Consider the following 15,632-nt stretch of genomic DNA (forward strand, 5'->3'; position numbering starts at 1 on the left):
AAGAAAATCTGACTTCTCAATTTATTTTAGATTCAATCCTGCTGCTAGAAATAAATCCAATTTTATGTTTATGTATTCAACTACTTCTTCTTTTCATCTTGTGAAGTACCCTAATTTGTAGTGACTCATTCATCTTACTAGTTTTGGAAAGTTGATACACATTAAATATTTGAATGAAGCAAGCCAATAAAAGGCAATGATATAGTTTATACATACTTGTTACATGATGTGACTGGCAGACTCAAATTTAGTAGGGACTCAAATATTTGAAAGGGTGAATGTTTTATGTTTTATTATTTGAAGGGTATTGAATTAGATACTATGAAATTCTTAAATTGTTTCAGACTTTGGAGTTAGAGAAAACATTATTTACGTGTTTATAATCTGTTATTATTGTGTATAATTCTCACCAACATCCATCCAGTACTTATTACATATTTATCATGTACCAGGCATGATTAGACATTGATAATATGCTGGTAAAATATAAAAATAGTGCCTTATGGAACAGATAAGTCATTTAACCACTCAGGGCTTCACGTTTTTCTTTATATCAGGATTATTACCACTTCCTAGGTTATTGTGAGGATTAAATTTAGATGATACTGTAAAAAGACCAACACTATACTTGCATATACTTTGGCCATTTTTATTCAGAATCTGATTCATATAATTTATTTCAAAATAACTACACACACACACAGATACATATGTATTTGTGTGAATACACACACATATATACACACACGGCACATGTATATAGGTATGTGTCTGTGTGTGTGTGTGTGTATTCACACAAAGCTAGTTGACCATTTTAACAAGGGCAATACGAGAAATATGAGAAACTGTATGTACCATATACTGAAGCTATATATGTCATATACTGAAAAAGAGGTAAAGCACCCCTTTCTTTTGTAGTCTGTGAATAAGCAGGAATAGGAGTATCGTGGCTTCTTAGTACATCTGTCTGTCTATTCTATCTATCTAATTTGTGTATGGGTCTTTGATGTGTGTATATATATATCTGTGTATGTTTATTTAAATTTATTTAAATGTATTATCTCTATATATCTGTGTTTTATGTATACTTATAATATGTACGCATAGAGCTAATTTAATCATTTATTCTTCCTTTTTCATAGACTTCTAAAAGGGTATTTTACTGCTTTTTCAAAAAGCCTCAGATGGTTTCTTTGTTAAGAAAATGTTATTATGAGCATTAATCTTTCTATACCTGGATAAACACTAATGTTAAAAGCTGGTTTATATTCTTAAAGTACTTTCTTTAAAACCTCATTAATAGATACATCTTGAACATTTGATTACTGGTACTGAAATTTTATATGGTTAGTATTGGCTAAGAAAGACTATAAGGTATACATGTTATAGGTAAGTGATTTTCAATAAAGGTACTGTTGGTATTTGGGGCTGGGCAGTTCTTTTTTGGGGTAGAATACTGTCCCAGACATTGCAGGGCATTTAAAACTTGAGACTTGTGGTGCTTGGCATGGTGGCTCACATCTATCATCTCAGAACTTTGGGAGACCAAGGCAGGAGGGTGGCTTGAGGCCAGAAGTTCAAGACCAGCCTCTGCAACATAGTGAGAGCCTATCTCTACAGAAAATTTAAAAATTAGCCAGGTGTGATGGTGTATGCCTATAGTCCTAGTTATTCAGGAGCCTGAGGCAGAAGGATCACTTGAGCTGAGGAGTTTAAGGTTGCAGTGACCTGTGATTGTGCCACTGCATTTCTAGCCTGGGTGACAGAGTAAGACTCTGTCTCAAAAAAAAAAAAAAAAAAAGGCCATGAGATGAAAAAAAATGGGTAAACATTTGAAATAATAATTTTAAATTATATTTATTTATTTGCTTTCAAATTTAAATACGTGTGTTTATCATTTTTATCTGGATTCTGTTTTTCGTTTAGAATGAACAGTCAGGTGTGGTGGGGCATGCCTGTAGTTCCAGTTACTGGAGTGGAGTGGCTGAGTTAGGAAGACAGGAGGATAGCTTGATTCTAAGAGGTTGAGTCTAGCCTGGACAATATAGTGAGATCCTGTCTGTAAAAAAAAAAAAATGATAATAAGGAAGGTGAATTGATGTGCAAATACTCCTTAAGATGGGTTTACATCCTGATAAGCCCATCTTAAGTTGAAATATCATAAGTTGAAAATGGGCATTTTATAGACATAATGACATTGGAAACCCCAAAACACAATATCCAGAAAATGCTGGCAACACAGTACGCTGTACAATATTGGTTGTTTACTCTCATGATTGTGTGGCTGACTGAGAGCGGCAGCTCACTGCACCTGCCCAGCATAGAGAGATAGTATCATACTTCATATTGCTAGTCCAGGAAAATTCAAAGTATGATTTCTATTGAATGCATGTTGTTTTTGCATCATTATATAAAGTTGAAATATCTCAAATTGAACCATCATAGTTGAGAACTTCTGTGTTTGTAGTTTTATTTTATGTGTTGGTAGTAAGGTTTGCATTCTGCCATTGGTAGATGTATTTCTAGTTTAGGCAGTCAAACTCCTAGGAATGTTTTTGACAGGCACTGAATAAGACCAAACATAGCTAGCTAAAATATAGGGTTGTATTATATATGTATTTTTATTTTTCTGTATATTATGATGTTTTGACATCTTAAAAAACCTTTCTGGCTGGGAAGAGATTACCCCTCCAGAGGTTAGCCAATTCTTAGAATTAGCCAAAAACTCAGCTGGGAGCATGCCTATGATATGTGCTCTAACCAATCCACACTCCTTTTCTATCTGGCCCATACACCCAAGAGGCAATATTCCTCTACCTTATCTTCCCCAGGGCCAGGTACCTGGAAGCTAGAGACCCATTCTTATAGCCCAAAAGTCACTGGAATTATTCAAACTAAGTAATCCTTTACCATTTACCTTGCCCTGCATTGCCTTTCGCTGGGAAACCCCAGTAAATGCTTTGGCCTAGGCACTCCGCTTGCTCTTGTTTTTCTGCCACCTAACCAAAACCTAGTGTTTCCCCTGTGACCCTGTGTGGCATGCGATGTGACTTCCTGTTTAGAATTTGTTAAGTATAGTAACCTTTGTTTTCATGAGGGACTTTCCTTTGTGCTCTGTGGCCACATCTGTCTATCATAAAAGAGCACAGAAGAGAATATTATGTATTGTTTAATGAATAACCATACCTGAAATAAGATATTGTAACTTTTGACATAATTAAGTATGCCACAGGAGCTTCCATAACATCTCTTATTTTTGTTTTTTCTTTTCTTATTCCTACATAGCTAATAACTCCTTATTTTATTGTTTATGTTTGATAGTTGCTTTGTTGAAAATTCTGCAGGCCTTATATGTATCAAATGAATATGTAGATTTGGATGGGTTCATCATTTTCATGTTTATTGATTTTTCTGCTGTTTCTAACTGAAGCTATTATAAAACTTACCTGAAAAATGTAATAACTAAGGAATAGACTGTAAGACGGTAACGAAAAATTCCAATATATAGTGGTTTCAAGCAAATGGTTTATTTTCATTTCACACGACACAGACCAGAGGGAGAAACCCGAAGGCTGTCAGGGTACCTCTGCATCCTTAATATGTGACTTCCGTCTCTGTGCACAAGGTAATTGCTTTAGCTGTTTCCATCTCCCAGCCAGGAAGAATAAAGAAAAAAAGGGGCAGGAGCATATACATTCCTTTCTGGAAGTGAGGAGGAACATACTTAATGTCTACTGACATTCAGAACTTAAGTCACATGGCCACACTAAGCTGAAAGAGAGGCAGGCAATGTAGTCTTTAGCTGGGCAGCCATTTTCAAGCTTGGGCATTCTGTAGGGGGAGAATGGCTATTGGTGGGTAAATAGTTGTTTCTGCTGTAAACATATATGTGTAGTTTTTGAAGAACATAGTTTTTGATAATTACCACCCCAAAGCCACAAAATTGGTAAAACTATATTTTCAAGTTTAATATGGCACAATGCTTTACTGGAAATGTCTTTTAAAATTGGATTAAAACATCACTTAACCGGCACCAGTTTACTTGGATTTTTCTTTTAATGGGATTCTCACTACATGCACATTCCCTCCCTTTCAATCACACCATACATAAACACATACTTTGTGCATCATTTGTTTGTTTATGTTTATAACAAATACTGATTAAAAGTGAGGCTGTGGCTATGCTAGGTGACAAAAATGCACTTGTGTTATTGTTTAATCTTTGTTCATAATTGTGACTTCAAGTTTCAGCAACATCTCTAGTATTCAAAAAAAGATGATCCTTTTAGGATTTAGTGCTTTCTGCTGTGACCTCAAAGGTATGAAAGCCAACAAAAATAGTACTTTTAGAGGCATTTGTTATATTTTGATTCTTTGAGATCTGTAGTTAACCTAACTTCTTGTCCTGTGAAATTTTTTCCTTGTGTACTTGTGAATAAACATCATATACAAAATAGTTATGAAAAGATGATAATATGTTTGGGAAATAAAAATTCTGTCTTGGAACTCAAAACCAGAATTGTCTTTTGTTAATGTTCTTTGACATCAAGTTCTTCATTGTGAATATCATTAAATTATTTACTGCCAAGTTTACTAGAGGAAACCTAACTTTTCATTCATAATGCATTTTTGAAAATGTATATGAAGGCACATCTAAACATTGAACTAATTGACTAAAAATATGAAATATTCCGTAATTTTTAAAAATATGTATATAGGTTCAATGAGTATATGAATAGAGCTTAAAGTTGACCACTTTTGGAACTTCTGTTGAGTTCCATCCTTTTTGCCAACTGTATTGAGTTTATGACACCTATGTTACTTAGCGTTAATATGAATACTTCTTTTTTGCCCTTTATTTTCTCTCAATTTTGTACAATAAGGACAAAATTCAGAAAAGTATTATAATATTTGTATAAATAAACACTACTGTACAAAGGTGGCAACACAACTGAAGCTGAAATTTTGCCTAGAAGTTTTGCTACTGTTCATCAGCTGCTGTATGGAAGGAGGTTCAGGCCATTATGCTGGAAAATCACATGTGTCATAGTTGTTGATTGCTTCTTCTGTGTTCAGTAGCCAATGTGACCAGGGCCAGTTACTCTCACTATTAAAAAAAACCCCAAAAAACTATCATTGTTTTGTTTTCCTCACTATAAAAGTAATACATGCTAATTGAAAAAATACTGGAAATTCAGAAATCATATTGTACAGTTTTTTCATTCTTTTTAGTGTACTTATACATTAATCAAATTATCTTCATATACTTAGTGCTTCCAAAATTCTCTTTAGTACTCTACTTTGACTACAGATGCTGACCAATTGGAATTTTCTAGATTATTTTTGATTTGCAGTGCTAAAGATTACTGTAATTCACTTGAATTCTTTACAAGTTAGTGATATTAAATCTCTAGTGATATTAGATATTTTAAATATTTTATGTAATCAAATCTGTATAAAACGTTATGATCCTAATTTTTTTTTTTTGATGGAGTCTCACTCTGTTGCCCAGGCTGGAGTGGAGTGGTGTGATCTCGGCTCACTGCAACCTCTGCCTCCTGGGTTCAAGCGAATTCTCCTGCCTCAGCCTCCTGAGTAGCTGGGATTACAGGCGTGCGCCACCATGCCTGTCTAATTTTTGTATTTTTAGTAGAGACAGGATTTCACCATGCTGGTCAGTCTGGTCTTGAACTCCTGACTTCATGATCCACCTGCCTCAGCCTCCCAAAGTGTTGGGATTACAGGCATGAGCCACCACGCCCGGCCATGATCTTCTTCTGCTCAGAATATCCTTAATATGTGGATGTGATAAATATTCTTTCTTGTTTTTAGCTTATATTTAACTCAAGATATTTGGAATTAATTTTGTTGTAAGGTGAGGCACCAGTAACTATTTTTCTCCTCAAAGTGGTTAGTTTATCACAGCCAATTATTGAATGTTTTTAAATATTATTTCAGATATTTTATGTTTATTTAATATACTTACTGGATTAAATATGAGCCCTAGTAAGATTACATCTCATAATAATGATGAATTTAAAATGAAATGATAGTTGGAAGAGGAATTTGGTATTCTTATTCTTATATAGGAGTTCTCGTTTTGAAATTTTTTGACCATGCATTTGACTATTGATTACTTTTAAATTGTATACAATATTCCAAGAAAGTCAGAATCTTTCCATTTTTATAAGTGGGCTACTAGTATCTGTAGTGTCTGTATCACTTTCTACTCTGAATCTAGGTGAAATACTAAATACATCGAGTTGATAATAAGTTTGAATATTTCCTTGTTAAGTTTTTTTGCCAAATAGAAGCAAAAACCTATGCTTTAGTTAAATGTATTATGTGCTTTTTTTCAGAGTACAGTTTTATATAATGTATCTTTAAAATCAATTACTGGCAGAATCTGATTTTTTTTTCTTTTTCAAGGGAAAAATTTATACACAAATGAATATGTGGCAATTAAGTTGGTAAGTTCCTGTTTCTTAATTTTTCTTAATGATTTCTTTGTTACTTTTTAAGTAACTTATATATTTTAATTATTTTTTGTTTTCATGTCATTTATAATTTGGATGTTTATTTGACAGTTATATGCATAGCTAATCTTTGTTGCTAAGCTCCTAACATCATCCTGCTCTTAAAGTATATGGTAATGTGTAGGACATTCATGTTTGTCTGTGCCACAAAAACTCAATCCCTTTACTTTGGCAGCATTGTAGAACTGGATCTTGGCCCTATTTTTAATTTAGGGAAGGATTTTTAATTAGATAAAAATTAACAAGATTTTGCCTTCTGATTCAAACATTTTGGTAAAACAAAAGTGTTCTTAGTATTCAGGATTATATTCTTTGAAAACATACTTCCAGGTAGCTTCTGAAATTTCTTTTTAAATTGTTACTTCATATATATGGCAAAGCTGGCTATTGCTTGACTTTGAGGGATGCAGAAATGCTTGATGTGGTAGGTGATAGATAACAGGGAAAGCAAACTCCCGTGGAATTATTCTGAAGTTTTCAATGTGCCCAGTATGACAGCTGCAGAGCAGAGCGATCTCTTTGGAAAAATTGGGATCTAGGAATTATTTTTGTAAGACATACTTTTCCTGGTACAACTTTTCTGTCTGGTTTGCAGCCAGGTTTCCCTGTTTCATTCATTAAGTGGTGATCCTTAGGTCCTATTGTTTATAGATTTGGAACTTTTTCATACCATTGATGCCTTACTAAACATTTATCATGTCATCTTTCAGCCTTCTTATATACATACACATATATGTATGTGTATGAGGTTTAGCATGGCTTGGTTTTCTCTGCCTTTTTCAACCTTGTCTCTGTCAATATAACCTCTGTTATTAGGGTAATATGAAATGAATATATAAAAGAGAGACTATTAGGAGAAGAGGCAAATGGGAGGAAATAGAAAAACTCCACTATTTAATTTTAAGTATCTTTTGAATATAGACCAAGTTTTAGTGTAACAAATGTTTATTTTCACTTGAAATAAAGATGTGGAGTAGGGTTGCAGTGCCATGAAGAGAGATTGGTTGGCTGACATGTGGCTTTAGACTGGATTTTACCTAGATGAGTCCGTCTTGGTATTAAGATCTGGTCCTTGGCTTATGAAACAAAACGTGATTAGGTTATCTCACCAGTTGTCAGCGTTTCTTAGAGGTGGATTCACAGTAATCAGTTCACACTATCAAGCTCTCAGATTCAGGAAAGAGTGAATTTCTAACTAATAATGAGGTATTTTACAGGTCTAGAAAGCCCAAGTTTCTTTCTATGGGCCGATGTACATAGAAAGCCAAGTTAAAATTTCAAGGTCCCCTCATGAGCATGAAATCAGAAAGAGGTTGGTGAATATTAATCACAGCGGGGAGGCCTACTGTGGGATCCGCCTGCCTCGGCCTCCCAAAGTGCTGGGATTACAGGCGTGAGCCACTGTGCCCAGCCTGGACGTTGTTTGAACAGGCATTGCTGACTTTCATTTCTTTGAAATTCTTCCTTTTCTCATGTTGTAGGCCAGTGGTCCTGAACCTACAACAATCTTTGTGGTGTGCAAGGATAAAAGTGTGGCAGTGTTTACAGTCTGTGCTATTGATACAACAGCCTGTAGTGGGCAGCTCTACTCATGGGAGCATGCTTTGTATGTGAATGATAGTTATCTGATATATTAAGGCAGATAAACCATCGTGTCAAAGCAGAAACCCCTGCTCTAGGCTGAGCTTTCCTTGTCTGTTTCATTCATTAAGTGGTGATCCTTAGGTCCTGTTATTTATAGATTTGGAACTTGTTCATACCATTGATGCCTTACTAAACGTTTATTATGTCATCTTTCAGCCTTCTTATATACATACACATATATCACTTTTTTAAGTTTATTTTTGTGCTGTATCTCTGTCCTCTTAACTAGTTTTCTCCCCTTTTTAGGGGGAAACATTCTTCCTCCTCTCTGTTTTGTCTTTCTTTAAAGCACAATGATCAGCATTACATGTAATAATTATGGTTATACATTGTTCTTTGGGGGAACTAGGAATATTTTTGGATCTATGTCTCTAGTATTTTGAGGTTGTAGAGTGGTATCTAGTCACGTTCACCTCAAGTTCATCCAAAATATCGGAAGGACAGAAAACTTTTCACATACATTGTTGAATGATAGTTCATGATTTCCTTATATGTTTTTTCATTTGTGTCTGTTATATCTGTTTGTGCCAGATAACATGATTTTGTTTAGACCTGCCATAAAAGTAATCACTTGAACATCTTATGTCTGCATACCTCAGTGTTATCTGGCTTTTATACTTTGCTCGGTACAAATAAAGGCATTATTTGATAACCTGAGTTCAGAGAGCAGATTTCTGTGACTGCTTTCACTCCATTATCTCTTACAAAGATTTTTTACATTTATCTAATATTACCCTAGTTCAGATCAACAGTTTGTTTCAGGATAATTTGTTAATATTACCTCAGCTACCATCCTTATATCTTGTTGTACATGAATAATGAAAATGTCATCCTGGGGAAGGTGACTTTTATTATATAGTGTTAAAATTTTACTGCTTAAGTACTGGAATCTAGTTGAAATGACTCAACTAAGTCAGATTTGGGTCAGTATTTTTATCCTAAGGGGGAGTAGTGATTGAATAAGTTATATATTTAATTTCATTTGTGATTGTGTACATGGACATCTTTTTATTGCATCTTAAGGTTATGTACTTCTAGGTAGTTAACTGAAGAATTATAGGTAATATAGTGCTATATGTATAGAAGGCACTGTTTTAAGTACTTTATATATAAGAAAGGTTAAGTTTTAACCCAATTTTACAGATGAGGGAACTGGAAAGTACAGAAAAGTTAAGTAACTTGCTGAAAGTCACACAGCTAGAAATAGAGGATTTAGGATTCAAACCTAGTACAATTTAGTTTCAGTGTCTGTGCTCTTAACTACTGTACTATCCTGCCTCTCAAGAACTAAGCTGATTGTTTTCTCCTGTAATAAAACTTATAAGTTTTGCAGTGGGATTTTAATATTGCTTATGTGAATTCTTTTGTTGTTGGTCACAGTTTCATTATGATGTGTTGGTGTAAAATTCTTTTTAGTTATCCTGTTTGGGATTCACATTCCTCTTGAATTGGTGGGTTGTTAACCTCATCAATTCTGGAATATTCATAGCAATAATTTATCCAGTTATTGCATCTGCTCACTTTTCTGTCTCCTTTCCTCCTGATACTGTTATCAAATCCATACTAAATCTTCTCACTGGATTGTCCAGGTGTCTGATCCTTTTCTTCTGTTTTCCAGTTTTTCTTCCTTCATGATGCATTCTATATAGTTTTTCTGTCTGCCTTACAGTTTCCAAATTCTCTCTTCTGTTAATCTGCTGGCAAAATGAGTTTTAAATTTAGTTATTGTATTCTCTTATTTTTCAAAGTTCTATTGATTCTTTTTGAAATTTTCTATTACCTTGTTATACTTTTCTGTTGGTTCTTTTTAAAATTTCCTGTTACCCTGTTACAGTTTTCTACTTCTTGTATTTTCATATTTAATATTATTTCTAACGTCTAAAACCCATGTTTCCTCTGTACATGTTTGTGTGTGTGTGTGTGTGTGTGTGTGTGGTGTGTGTATATGAATCTCAAAAACATTTATGTCGAATGATAAAAGCTGGACACAACAGAAAGCATATACTGTATAATATCATTTAGGTGAAATCCAGCAACAGGCAAAACTAATCCAAAGGTGATAGAAGTAAAAAAGGTATGATGGAAATGTTCTATAGATTGGTGTGGTGGTTATAGGGATATATGGAGTTAATATGTATTTAACGCTTATGAACTGTGTGTTTTATTGCATATAAGTTATACTTTAGTGAAAAAAAATTAAGACATTGTTGCTACTATCAAAATTTTCAAATTACCATCTTTGTTCTTACTATCCTATGACTTAACTTTAATCTAGAACCTTTATGTAAGAAATACACAGTTCAGAGGTGAATTTGGAGAACAGGAGAAATAGCATAAGAGCCATCATTTCTCTAGTGATGAATGTTCAGAACATATTTTTCTCAGGGTCAAAGAGTCAAACTTAAGGGATTTTTCTCCTGCCTGATCTAATGGCTACTTAGTTTATGTACATTTGTAGTATCATTTTATTTTACATTGAACAGAAAGTTGATTTTTATATGAATCTAATCTTAGACAAAGATGCCTGGTAGACTATTACATAATATAGGCATTGACACCAAAATTTATAACATTTGTGTTGGGACCTAGTGCTCTTTTAATAACTTAAATGTCTTTTTTTGTTTGTTTTTCAATTAGGAGCCCATGAAATCAAGAGCACCACAGCTACATTTGGAATACAGATTCTATAAGCAGTTAGGATCTGGAGGTAAAGTCTTATATTAATTTTTAAATTTGAAATAAAGTGGATTGTCATGACTTTTTAGTTTCAAGGAATGGTATTTTAAGTTTGGTTAAGGAAATCACTTTGCAAGGCTATGTTTACTATACGTTTTCTTACTATGGTCTTAGGATCCCTTTTTTATTTTATGACAAATTTGGAGCTTTTTATGTTTATGCTGATATGAGTAGAGAACATTGTGAAAAAATTTAATTTGCAAATATAAAATGCATACTTCTTCCATATTCTTAGTCTTTTTGGAGGCACTATTATAGCTGTTGAAGTGACTTACAATATAGTGGTAGGCTGAAAAATGGCCACATAGAAGTTATCTGTATCATAATCCCTAGAACCTCTACATGTTACTGTATGACAAAGACTTTGCAAGTATGATAAATTAAGGATTTTGAGATGGAGAGATTATTCTGGATTATCTGGTGGGGGCAGAGGGACATTTACACACACAGAAAAGGAGTAGGCATTGTGACTGTGGAGCAGAGTGGAGAGAACCTGGAAGAGGCTTCTAGTACTTTCGCCTAGAGTCTCTAGAGGGAGTGTGGCCTTGCGAAGACATTGATTCAGACCAATGAAACTGATTTCAGACTCTTACCTCCATAACTGTAAAAAAATAAATTTCTGTTGTTGTAAGCCACCAAATTTGTAGTAATTTGTTACAGCAGCCGTAGGCAACTAATATGGGTATGTTTTTAGATAAACTCTAAATTCAAGTGAGATTATTTCATGCCACTAGAGAAAATTCATGGAAAAAATTTCTATTGTTTGTTACATTTCCTTTATGTTAAAAGGTTCTCACAGCACTTTTCTGTATACTTCTATTCAATTAATTGTAAGAATTTTACTTGTATAGCTTCTTGTATAATACAGGTAGAGGAATTTTGTTTCTCCAGATTTAATAAAATGGAATTTCTTCATGTATCTTTTTGTAAGCATGTTTACATTCTAGTGGGTAGAGCTGTCCATTTCATACTGATATCAGTTTTACATTCTGTTTTTTCTAAGAGCACACTTTGCAAATGAGTAGTCATTGTAGGGGCAATAAGTTTTAAATGTTGTAGTAATGTGTTCATCACTACAGACTTCTTATAATACATATTTAAGTCTGATACAGACAGGCCTCAGGGAGTTATCAAAATTATCACTGACAACTGGGATTTAAAGGCTATTGGGATAAAACGAATTATATGTGAAACTATACATATTAGTTATTATACTAGCAAATAAGAAGTTAAGTGGGTATAAAACGAATTTATTGACTCATGTACTTGGAAATTCAAGGAAATGACTTGATAGATTAGACATTGCTCTATCCAGTGCTTCAAATACTGTCATCAACATGTCAAGTCTCTATGATATGCCTTATGAGTATGTGTAAGCTTCACTCTCTAGTTGGCCCTTCTTAAGAGATTCTGGAGGTTGCCACCAATAACCTAGGCTTAGCAATTATGAAAGCATCTCTTTCCTAAAAATTTCAGCAAAAGTTGTAGGACTAAATCTTACTGCCTTATGTCATGCTTATCCCTGATTTAATTACTATGAATTTGATTGCCTCAAGTTAGATCAAATGCTTATCCGAACTTTAGAGACTGAGAATGGGGGAGGTGATTGCCTACTGGGAAATCGAGGTGTTATATAAGGGGGATTGGATGCCACGGTGATGAAAAAAAAAACCAGATCTATCTAGTACAGTAATAAAACTGTCATTTGGAAGAATAGGATTGAGTGGTTTAGTTAGAAATGAGTTAGTCAGTTTAGAGTTTAGCAAGTCATTGAATTGAGTAACAAAGATGTACTTTTATTATTTTAACTTTTTTCTGTTTTATATTTAAAAACTATGTCAGAGATAGTAAGAATAAAAATGAAACATCTTTTAGGACTTGTATGCCATAGGACTGCAGTGTTGCACAACTGCAGGGACCACCATTTACAGGGTAGTCTCTGTTTACTAAGGGTGCTATGCTCCTCTCTGCTCTATGGGTGTCATTTACATAGATTGAAATACAAATGGTCTTACTGAAGGTTTGCATCATGGTGGCTCTGAGCTGTGACACATGTGGATATTTTTTAGTATTTTGTACGAGTCATGAATTTGGGCATATTTTTTGTGGTTTTTTTTTTTTTTTTGGTCATTTGTGAGTTTTGTGAAAGCATTTTTAAGTACCTTTGTGAGCTTTGTAGAAAAACAAGAGTGCTTAATTGTTTTGGAAGAACTGATGACTTTTAAACAGTTTGATTTTGGAATTCATATCTGAAAAGATTATATTTTCAGACTGCTCTTAATTATAAACGGGCTATTTAGAGTAACTCAACCTATAATTTTCCTATGGTATGCTGAATTTCATTTATATAGCAATTTGCTTGTTAATATTCTCTTTAAAAATAGATATATTTAAGTAATATCCAGCATATATAAAGAACTTCTAAAACTCACCAACAAAAATAGACAACCCAATTGAAAAATGGACAAAGGACTTGAATAGACAAATCTCCAAAGATATACAAATGGCTGATGAAAAACATAAAAAAATGCTCAACACCACTAATCATTAGGGAAATGCAGCTGGAAACCATGAGATACCACTTCATACCCCTCAATATGGCTGTAACAAAACAAAACAATACACAGAAAGCAAGTGTTAGTATGGATATGGAGAAATTGGAATCCTTGTGCATTGGTGTAAAAATTTAAAAAAGCCACCGTGGAAAATTGTATGTTGATTCTTCAGAAAAATTAAACATAGAACTACCATTTGATCTAGCAATTCCACTTCTGGATATATACATAAAATAATTGAGAGCATGACTTCAACAGGTAATTGTACATTCATGTTCATAGAAGTATTGTTTACACTAGCCAAAAGGTAGAAGCAACCCAAGTGTACATTGACAGAAAAATGGATAAAATGTGGTATATACATAAGATGGAATATTATCCAGCTTTAAAAAGGAAGGCTAGGTGTGGTGGCTCACGCCTATAATCCCAGCACTGAGACTTGTGGTCTCAGCTACTTGGGAGGCTGAGGTGGGAGCATCGCTTGAGCCCAGGAGGTCAAGGCTGCAATGAGCTTTGATCATGCCATTGTACTAAAAAAAGGAAAATTCTGCAAAGTGAAATAAGGCGGTCACAAAAGGACAAATAAATTTCACTTAACATGAGGTTGGAATAGTCAAATTCATAGAGGCAGAAGGTAGAATGGTGTTTTCTGGGGGCTTGGGGAGAGGGCAGAAATGGGGAATTATTGTTCATTGGGTAAGAGTTTCAGTATGGGATGATGAACAAATTTTGGAGATGGATGGATGGTGGGGATGGTTATACAGTAATGTAAATGTACTTAATGCCACTGAACTGTACACTTAAAGATGGTTTAAATGACAAATTCTATGTGTATTTTACCACAAATAAATTGGAAAATAGATTTATTTAGAATTATTTAGTGGGGTATCTGTGAAAAAATATACAATTTGGTTTTGCCCGTTTGGGTTTTGATCCTCCTGTAAATCCATGTTTCTTTCCTTTATGTAGCTTCTCTGACAATATCCCTCTTTACATTACATTATTTAGCTTTGCATAGGATTAGACTATTGTTTTATACCATTATCACTCTCTGGGATAGCAAAAATTTAATGTATTGAATAGTCTTGTTTTGTCACATCTACTCAGTATTCGTTGAGTCAAATGAAGACCTGGGTTTGGGAGTCATCAGCACATAGATGGTTTTTAAAGCTAAAGAAATGGATGAGATCTCCCTGAGGAGAGTATAGAGGTTGACAAGAAAAGAATAGCAAGAACAAAGCTGTGTGGACTACTCCATTGGATATAAATAGATTTGACTCTTAATAACAAAAGTTGTGAAAGCAGTAGCTTAAACAAGTAAAGGGATGTAATGTGAGACAAGTGAGTTCAGAGGTGGGCAATTGTAGGGTTGGTACAGCTGCTCAAAAGTAAGGAACCAGGCTCCTAACCTTGGTGTGTGGCTTCATCCTGCAATCCTGGACTTTTTGTAACAGGAGGGAAGGAGGAAGAAATGAAATTACTATTTGTGTAAAGACAACTTCCAGTTCTTTATCTCCTGCTTCTATTCTTAAAGTCTAGCTGTATATGAATATCCCTACTGAAATCAGAAATTCATATAGCTGGAATTGAGTTCCCTACCTTCTTTTCCCCTTATTTTCTCGACAGTTTCTCTCTCTCTTAAAAGACCTTCCTGCTTGATCTTCTGGATTACCTAGTTCCATTAGTTCCACATCTGTTCAAGCTGAAATGTTAGCCTCCTCTGATTTTGGCGTATTGGTATAGTAAAAAAGTTCTGTCAATTTTGTCTCTTAAAATCTCTCTTGACTTAATTCTCTTCCAGTCCCCATTGTTACTTTTCTTCGAATTGGGCTTCCTTTTGAATATCTCAACCAGCTTTTTACCTCTACCTGCACAGAGGGGCACATCATTTAGTATAAAGTCCAAATTCGTTTCTCTTTCTACTGACCTACTTTTTAGTTGCACTACACTTACTATTCCTTGAGTAGATCTTACTATTTTCACGTCTGTATTCTTTCTCGAATATCTTTCTTTTCTAATGAATTCTATTTTTCTTTAAGCCCTAGCTAAATGTCACCTGCTTAGCAATGCATTTTCTGACATCTTTTCCTCTCCAGAAAATCTTCTTATTTGATCTGATATTTTGAATATGTAAACCTTTGAAACCTTTATTTTTCTTTTA

The 15,632-nt window shown here is 34.1% G+C and overlaps 1 protein-coding gene across 59 annotated transcripts in view, besides 1 other annotated feature; it reads left to right on the plus strand.

Moving 5' to 3' along the window:
- CSNK1G3 (casein kinase 1 gamma 3) overlaps positions 1–15,632 on the plus strand; it is a 104,873-nt gene that overhangs the window by 34,501 nt on the left and 54,740 nt on the right. For 32 of the 59 annotated variants that reach the window (XM_047416765.1, XM_047416768.1, XM_047416757.1 and 29 more), the window contains 2 exons: positions 6,430–6,470; positions 10,818–10,887. The exons of 4 other annotated variants lie outside the window; for them this stretch is intronic. In XM_047416765.1, the coding sequence (XP_047272721.1) occupies positions 6,430–6,470; positions 10,818–10,887 (111 nt within the window). Of the gene's footprint in view, positions 1–3,550; positions 3,626–6,429; positions 6,471–10,817; positions 10,888–15,632 lie in introns of all 59 variants that reach the window. 23 more of the 59 variants (XM_017009060.2, XM_017009059.2, XM_047416755.1 and 20 more) reach the window with 2 other exon arrangements.
- Positions 3,045–3,184: an enhancer, noted in NCBI's record as "active region_23006". NCBI's record gives its function as "activates an Ori minimal core promoter by ATAC-STARR-seq in GM12878 lymphoblastoid cells {active_cell/tissue: GM12878}" and the evidence as "EXISTENCE:reporter gene assay evidence [ECO:0000049][PMID:35858748]".

Source organism: Homo sapiens, chromosome 5 (assembly GCF_000001405.40).
Source record: "Homo sapiens chromosome 5, GRCh38.p14 Primary Assembly".
Taxonomy (NCBI): domain Eukaryota; kingdom Metazoa; phylum Chordata; class Mammalia; order Primates; family Hominidae; genus Homo; species Homo sapiens.